This window comes from Homo sapiens, chromosome 6 (genome assembly GCF_000001405.40).
Source record: "Homo sapiens chromosome 6, GRCh38.p14 Primary Assembly".
Lineage (NCBI taxonomy): Eukaryota > Metazoa > Chordata > Mammalia > Primates > Hominidae > Homo > Homo sapiens.
In genome coordinates this window covers 166,624,942-166,633,235 of record NC_000006.12, presented here as the reverse complement: position 1 = coordinate 166,633,235, position 8,294 = coordinate 166,624,942, and the positions used below count along the sequence as shown (strand labels likewise).

The 8,294-nt window shown below is 52.5% G+C and overlaps 1 protein-coding gene across 8 annotated transcripts in view, besides 3 other annotated features; it reads left to right on the top strand.

Annotated features, from left to right (window-relative positions):
* Positions 1-8,294, top strand: part of RPS6KA2 (ribosomal protein S6 kinase A2) — a 453,410-nt gene that overhangs the window by 229,538 nt on the left and 215,578 nt on the right. For 2 of the 8 annotated variants that reach the window (NM_021135.6, XM_006715549.4), the window contains exon 1: positions 5,985-6,315. The exons of the other annotated variants lie outside the window; for them this stretch is intronic. In NM_021135.6, coding sequence (NP_066958.2) covers positions 6,217-6,315 — 99 coding nt within the window. In that variant the 5' untranslated portion in view covers positions 5,985-6,216. Of the gene's footprint in view, positions 1-5,984; positions 6,316-8,294 lie in introns of those variants that run through there. 8 annotated transcript variants of the gene reach the window in all.
* Positions 5,226-5,285: a silencer, noted in NCBI's record as "silent region_17781". NCBI's record gives its function as "represses an Ori minimal core promoter by ATAC-STARR-seq in GM12878 lymphoblastoid cells {active_cell/tissue: GM12878}" and the evidence as "EXISTENCE:reporter gene assay evidence [ECO:0000049][PMID:35858748]".
* Positions 5,536-5,705: a silencer, noted in NCBI's record as "silent region_17780". NCBI's record gives its function as "represses an Ori minimal core promoter by ATAC-STARR-seq in GM12878 lymphoblastoid cells {active_cell/tissue: GM12878}" and the evidence as "EXISTENCE:reporter gene assay evidence [ECO:0000049][PMID:35858748]".
* Positions 5,766-6,115: a silencer, noted in NCBI's record as "silent region_17779". NCBI's record gives its function as "represses an Ori minimal core promoter by ATAC-STARR-seq in GM12878 lymphoblastoid cells {active_cell/tissue: GM12878}" and the evidence as "EXISTENCE:reporter gene assay evidence [ECO:0000049][PMID:35858748]".

Sequence of the window (8,294 nt, the reverse complement as noted above, 5' to 3'; positions counted from 1 at the left end):
GGTTTTTGGTGTTTTTGAGATGGGCTCTCACTCTGTTACCCAGGCTGGAGTGCAGTGGCACGATCTCAGCTCACTGCCGTCTCCGCCTCCCAGGTTCAAGTGATCGTCCCACTTCAGCCTCCCAAGTAGCTGGGACCACAGGCACACACCACCACATCCAACTAATTTTTGTATTTTTTAGTAGAGAAAACATGGGTTTTGCCATATTGCCCAAGTTGGCCTTGAACTCCTGGGCTCAAGTGATCTGCCCATCTCGGCCTCCCGAAATGCTGGGATTGCAGGCATGAGCCCCTGCGCCCGGCCCCGAGGTATTTCACGCCCATGTTGAGTCCACGTTGTCCTCTGGCCTCCCCACACCGCTCAGTGTGCCTCTGCCTCTCCCCGACCCTGTTCCTGAGTTGCGCTGTCTGTCCCTGCTTTCTCCTCCCTCACTAAGCTCGGGCTCCCAGTTTCCTTTCCTTTGGGTTAAGTTCCTTCTTGGTCTCCTGGTCTTTGTGTCTGTCTTCTGGTCTTTCTCCTCTGTGTTGTTGCTGTTGATTTCTGTATGTCCTTCCTCATTCATTCTTTTTATTTTCTCCAGCTTTGTTGAGGTATAATTGACAAAGAAATTTTTTTTTTTTTTTTGAGATGGAGTTTCGCTCTTGTTGCCCAGGCTGGAGTGCAATGGTATGATCTCCACTCACTGCAACTCTGCCTCCCAGGTTCAAGGGATGCTCCTGCCTTAGCCTCCCGAGTAGCTGGGATTACAGGCATGCGCCACCATGCCCGGCTAATTTTGTATTTTTAGTAGAGAAGGGGTTTCTCCATGTTGGTCAGGCTGGTCTCGAACTCCTGATCTCAGGTGATCTGCCCACCTCAGCCTCCCAAAGTGCTGGGATTATAGGCGTGAGCTACCCCGTGCAGCCAAAAGTTGCATAATTTAAGGGACACCCCATGGTGTTTGCTGTAGGTATACCTCATGTAAGGGTTCCCACAATCAAGCTAATGAACACACCCATCATCTCACATAGCTACCTGCGGGCAACACAGGTGGGCCTGGGGACATCATACTAAGTGGAATAAGCCAGACATGGGGAGACAAATGTCCATGATCTCACTTATCTGTGGAGTCTAAAAACTCCCCAGGGCTGGGGGTGGGGAAGGGCGATGTTGCTCAAAGGGTACAAAGCTTCAGCTATGAGGCAGACAGGTCCTGGAGGTTGAAGGCACCGCATGGCAGCTGGAGTTAGTATCCTGGAAATGTGCGGAGAGGAGCGCTGTCCCCACCGCCTCTCTGTCTGAATTTCATCTCTCTCATGTGGTGTTTGATTTAGGTCTTTTCGAGGCATTTACACCTTAGCTGATACTGGTGCTGCCCTGAGGTGCCACCTGTCTGGGCTCCGTTTGCCGCGCAGCCTCTCTCTGGTCTGTCTCTGCTCCGCTGTGTCTATGACTGCTCTGTGTGTTCGCATCTATCTCTTGGGTTCCACTGTCTCAAAGAGAAAAAGGGCTCACTGAGGCAGGGCCCTCCCTTCTCGCTGTTTGGGAGTCATGACTCCAGCCGTGCTCCGCTGACACCATGGAAGGCACCAGAGTGCCCCAGGCAGAGGGACGAAAAAAAATCTGTGTTACCAGGAAAGTTATTTGATCAGCCTCTCTGTAGATTCTGGCCCTATGGTTTATAAATGGGTTTCAAAAGAAAGTGGTATGAAGGAACATAGTATTTAAAAACCAATAAAATCCAAAGCTGTCCTCACAGCGGGCTGGCGGGGGAGGTGTTGCAGGTGAAGCCCACCTTCTGTGAGCCCTGTGCCTTCCTACCCAGGTTGGATGGGGGATGAGGGCTCCAGCGGGGAGGGAGGAAGCCAACCATGATGGTTTCCACAGCTTGAAACCCAATGTGGTTTTTCTTCCTAAATGTAAGCCAGTCAATAAGGGTCAAGTACAACTGGCCTGTGGGTTTCCACCTGCCTCTCCTGACTACTCAGAAACCAGGCCCTCTGGTTTCAAATGTAAATTCCATTTCCTGGTACTTCACCATTAGAGCTTTATTTCTGTCATTTTGAAGACTTTTACGCATTAAGACTTTCTTTTTAAATTTTCGATATGCTCAGAGATTTTAAACTGTTAAACTGAGGGCACAGGTGTCATTCTGACATGGCTTGGTTGGCACCCAGATGTGAATGAGACCCAAGTGTCCTGTGGGTGAGGGCCAGGGGCCAGCCAGAGACCAGAGGCAAACTTGATCCCTTCTGACTTTTGCCGAGGGCCCAAGAAGCCCTTCCCTGACAGCTCCAGGCCCCTTGCTGACACCTGCTCCGAACGTGCCCCCACCTGAACTGTCCACTACAGTTTACCTTCTAGGGTCTCAGGACTTTAAGACCATCTTCCTGAGCAAGGACTAATTCCTACATTCAAGAAACTTCAAAGTCATAAACATTTCAAGTACACGGGGATCCACAGCCCAGGAAAAGGATTCCTTTCTGTACACTCAGGGACTACACTAAGGGAAGCTTGACTAAACCCATTTGTATCACAGCCACAGGAAGTAGTTCACAGGGGCACACACTGAAGCCCACCTCCCTCCCTCGTACTGGCTGGACACTGTCTCTGGAGCATCCAGCAGGATGCCTGTGATGGGCAGAGCCTTCGAATGCTGATACTCCGGAAAAGCACGACTTCCTGCTTTCGCAGATGGCCAGCACCAGGTGACCCTGGTGATCCTGGTGAAGTTTTGCATCAGGTGAACCTAGTGAATTCACCTCCCATGGCAAAACTTTAGTCCTAATGAAGACCGAATGTTTCAATTTATTTTAAAGATATATAGTTTCACTTGAAGTGCAATTTAGCGTTTTATTGAAAATATGTGGGAGTTTTAGAAGCTTGAAACTTTCAGCAGCCTGTAGGACTGTTTGGAGACGAACAGACATTTGTGGTACTTGACTAATTAGAAGCTCTTGGATGTCACTCAAGCCACTCCTGTGGGGTGCCCCGAGAATGTGGCATCTTCCCATATGCAGAGAGCACACCAGCCTTACCCACAAGGTGCCTGTGTAGCAGGGAGAGATGGGAAACCTTGTCACAGCTGCCTGACAGTGCCCTGTTATTCCTCAGCCTGGGACTCCCGCCTCCTCTTGTCTGTCCAGGAAACTTATTCCCTCATCTTCTTACCCTCAGGGGTTCAGAGCAAAGGCCATCTCCTCCTTGACTTCGCCAATTAGAATTGGCTTCTCATTCATCTCTTACGCATTTCTTTCACTTTACATAAAAACGGCATGAGCTTTGTCTGTTCACTCACCTTCTCTTCCATAAGACTGTGAACTTCTTGGGATGTTGTAATCATTTTGTGTCACAAATGACCACCACAGTGCCAGATGTTAGTGCTCGATAATCACTTGTGGAATTGCATTGACCACACATCAGCTAATCTGGTACTCATAGAAGCAGCAGTCACCACGGAATTCAGTCTCAAACTTACTGTGCTTGAGTCAGAGGAAATGTGAGATACTCAGAGGTCTACCAAGCTCTTTATCTTCTCTTCAGTCCTCTCCCATTCCATCATCTGGGCAAGAGCCTTTATCAAGTTCACTTTCTTTTCTGGTATTTGGTAAGGATAATTTGGATTTCGGTTACAGTGGGTCTTGATATTATACCTACCCTAGATTTAGTGGTTTTGGAGGATTTCATTACATAATCACATGAAGTAGTGTTCCATGATCACTAGAGATTTTGGTATACGTGTATTTTACCAGGAGAAAAACAAAGGCAAACAGATTTATTGTTCTAGCAATGAATTCCAGTGAAATCTGAATGATTTTCCCTCCCAAGTTCAACAGAACAGTTTTGTTGCCTTCAAATTTGGGGAACTAATGAATGTCCCATGAAATATTTCCTTTCCAATTTTGTCAGATCAGGTCAAAATACTATTGTTGGTACAACACAAGCCTTGACTTAGGCCTGCCTGCCTTGGGGCTTTTGTCCTGAACAGGATGCCCATGAGTTGGTATAGGTGGCATTCAGCACTCCTGTCTCCGGCCAGTATTACTGGCTCCCCTTCCGAGGGAAGCATGGTCGGGTTGGTCCTCCCTCATTCCCGGAGTCTGTGTCCAGTTGGAGGTCCATCTACCTCTTCCCGTGCTGGGTACAGAGTGTCTTTGTGTTTGCCTAGAGCCAGGATGCCTGAGGGTCCCAGCAGGGATACAGGGCACTAAGAGGCTGGTTCTGAGAGCACAGATTACTACCCTCCCAGCAGAACCTTAAAGGAAGCAGGCAAAGCAGTTTTCATGGGCACTTAACTGGCACACCATCTTGAAAAGGAGCAAAAAGTGGTGTTTGGTGTCCTTGTGGGGTCCTGCACTTCTGTTTTTAAAGAATAGTCATTATAGATCCTTTAATACATAATATGAAAATCAATTGCACTATTTAAATTCACAAAGCACTCCCACATCCGTGATCTTGCATAAGCCTCTTGGTATCCAGTAAGGGAGGTGAGACAGGTTTCACTCGTATTTTCCTCTTAGAGATGAGTCGTGGGAACAACGTGCAACGGCACCCAAGTTCACCAAGCAAGGAAGGGGCAGCGCCAGAGTCGTGGTGCTAAACTCCCGGCTTCCACTCCGGAGCAGCACCGCTCAACGCGGGTCTCCAGGAAACCCAGAGAGCCTATCTGACCTCACCTCAGCCCGGATGCAGCATGACTTTAAAGCTCTTATTTAAGGACATTCTGACCTCTCTACCCACCTTAGCCAAAATAGACTACACAAGTATTAACGCAACATCTGACTAGTCCAGGGAGCAAAACAACGCGAGGATTTTGCAGTTCGCACTGCAAAAGAGCAAGCAAGACTTGTCAACTCACCACCGCACTCGTTTCTGCTCTTTGCAGGTGGTGATGGTGCTATGTCAATGGGCTCGGTTTCTCCCTGTTTTTAAATACAAACTCAACACGTGCACAAGAGGAAAACAGAGCAGGCTGCACGGGGTCGTGAGCCCGCATTCTCGGCCCTGCTGCAGCCCTTGGTGAGCATTTCTAGGAAAAAAAAGAAAAAAGTGTTTCCCTTTAAGGCGGATCCCGAGCGGCGCTGCCGCCAGCAGCGGGTCTGAGGGCCTTGCCCTAGACCCAGGTCACCCCGCCCGGGTATTCCCAGCGCGGGCCCTGATAAGCCATCTGTGTAGACGTTTCCTAGAGCGGGACCGGCTGCGGAGGGCGGATGCGTCTTTGTTCTGCAGCCGCGGGAGGGAGGCGCCCCGAGGGCTGCCTGAGCCCCCGCCCTCGGGCGCCTTTGTCCGCTCCGGCGGAGGGAAGGCGCCGGTTCCGCGGAGGGCGGCTCCTGGCCGAGCTGCAGGGCCCGCTGGCAGGCGGCGGTCCCTCGCTCGCTGTGCCGCTGAGGTTTTGGCTGCGTTTGCTGATCAACAATTAAAGTTTGGTTCGGCAGAGAAAAACATGATGACAAAGTGTGCATAGGGATGTTTTAAGGAAGGAAAACATAATGACGGCCCCAAGCTGGAAGAAAGAGCAGCCGGGCCGAAGTTGCGTGACAGGAACGCCCGCGACTGCGCGGCTCCGGAGCAGCTGCACAACTCGCCCGGGCCGGGAGCTGTCCCGGGCCGAGGCTCATTAGGTATGCGGCGGCTGCGGGCACTGATTGGCGGGCAGTGCTGTGGGCGGGGCCGTGGGCGGAACCGCGTGGGGGCGGGGCTGCACGGAGCTGGTTCTTGTAGGAAGGAGTAGAAAGAGGAGGAGGGATGGGCACCTGGAACCACAGGGCGGCGCTGATGATTGGAGGTATCGGCAGAGGCGGGGCTCTCCCGGGCGGGGCGGTGGGCTCTCATTGGCAGTGCTGGTGGTGGGTGGGAACGGGAGGGGTGGTGAGCGCTGATTGGCCGTAGTGGCGGGGCGGGGCGGAGGAGGAGGAGGTGTGCGTGCCGGGGCGCGGAGCGGCGGGCGCTGATTGGTGGTAGTGGTGGTGGGCGTGGTGTAGGCGTGGCGCGTGGCCGGCGCTGGTACTCGCAGGGGAGGCGGAGAAGGAGGCGGAGGGAGCGATTGTGGCCCCGGCCGCGGTGGCCGGCGCGGCCTGCCCTTTGTGACCGCAGCTCGCGCCCCACGCCCCGCGCCCATGGCCGCCGTGCCGGGCTCCCTGGCCACGCGTGCCCGCCCGCGGACCTGAGCCCCGCGCCTGGGATGCCGGGGATGCGCGTCCCCCGGCCCTGCGGCTGCTCCGGGCTGGGCGCGGGGCGATGGACCTGAGCATGAAGAAGTTCGCCGTGCGCAGGTTCTTCTCTGTGTACCTGCGCAGGAAGTCGCGCTCCAAGAGCTCCAGCCTGAGCCGGCTCGAGGTAATGCGGCCGCCCTCGGGGCGCGCAGGTGCCGGGCACTGAGCGGGCCGTGGTCGCCCGAGCCCGCCTCGCCACCCCTGGGTGGACCCCGAGACCCGTCAGGGAGTTCAAGTTACTGGAAAGCTGGTCCGGTTCCGAAAATCGAACCAAACGGCTCCAAACGTTATCGCTGGGACTCCGTAGTAATTGGGCGGTCCGTGGGTCCTCGCGGGGGCAACTCCACCCCCACTGCATTTCCAGCTGGTTTCTCCGCCGCTGGCTGCACGGGGTGTGGGATGGTCCCCTGTGGGCCACAGGGAGCCCCGGGTGAGGAGGGGCTTTCTCTGCAGCTAGACCGCCGAGTGGCGCGGAGCGCTCCGCGGGGGTCCCTCAAAGTCCCGAGTGGAGAAGCCCCCCAGCTCCGCCCTCCGAGGCGCTGATCAGGTGCTGTCTGCCGTGCCCGGCCGGCAGGTTCCACCTTATCTTGTAGCTCATTCGTGCACTTGAAGTCAGTGTAGAATTCACAGAACGGGGAAGAACAGGCAGCAGCACAATCTGCTTAGGCGTCTAAAACGGCGTTCAGGAGTAAAGAGCCTGATGCAATATCCTCGCAGCGCCGAGGCTGATACAGATTCGTCCTGAAAACCCAGAGTACTCCCAAAGCCCTGTCCTTTCTACCTGTCCCGCATCTTGGCATCTTAGAGTTTCCTTGTGGACGGTTCTCTCGTGGTGTGTTTTATTTCAACCATCAAATCTTATTCTCTTATTCCCAGTGTCCAAATCACATTGTTGAATCTATAGATGACAAAACAGTGAAACGTGTTTAAGTGAAAAAGACATGGTGATGGGGAGACTGAGGCTGGGACCCAAAGATTTCGCCTGACACTGTCCCGCCTTTGCCTCAAGGCTGGCACCTGTGGGGTTTTGGTTGGTTTGTTTCAGCTGGAACAATCTCAAATGTTTCATCTTGGTTTTCTTTGTCCCAGCTGCCATGATATTAGACACAGACATGGGTTCTGTAACCATTGAGAGACCTGAGGAATAGACAAAAAAGTAGAAGAGAATTACTTGTTTAAAAAGTTTCTCTTATGGCATCCCTAAATCAGAATTGGAAGTACTAGATAGGATCAGTATGGCCGGTTCCCGAGGGTAAAACACATCTTTCAAACAAAACTGTTAATCCAGTACTGGAGGAGGGCTTGCTTTTAAGTCTAATATTGAAAGAAATGAAGCACACCAGTGAGGCAAATCATTTTCCTGGGACACAGGCACTTAAAAAATCTGAAGTTGACAAGATCAGAAACTCAGAACAGTATTTATCTTTATCCGGATACATGTCTTTGTTTCCTGTTTCATCTCAATGCCAAGTTTATTAGACAACTCCTTGTCTCCTTCCATTTACTGTCTTTGCCAAGAAGAGGTACACGTGTGAGCACACTCCAGGCATTGTTTATGAAGAGCAGCACTAGACACTGGCTGACCAGTGGGAGTTCAGGAATCTGCCTGATTCTGGATACACACGCCTCTGGTGTCACAGGGTTCTGCAAGGAGGGCTGGGCTGCAGGCGTGCCTCCGGAAAGAATACAGTGGGAAACAAGCGGGGGGGGGGGTGGGGGGGTGGTGGGAATAGGAAACGAGGTTTCTTCCATGTAGAAATAAAATTTCTAGAAGTCATACATAAACCATCAGCGATGTAGGAGGTCAAATGGGCTGAAAATACATGTAGTCTAAGAGCAAGTAGTCAATTAGTGCTTCCTGTGTGCCAGATCCCGTACTAGGTGCTGGAGGTCTCACTAAGATGGTCAATAATGGCCGGGCGCAGTGGCTCATGCCTGTAATGCCAGCCCTTTGGGAGCCTAAGGCGGGCGGATTATGAGGTCAGGAGATCGAGACCATTCTGGCCAACATGGAGAAACCCCATCTCTACTAAATATACAAAAATTAGCTGGGCATGGTGGCGCGTGCCTGTAATCCCAGCTGCTCAGGAGGCTGAGGCAGGA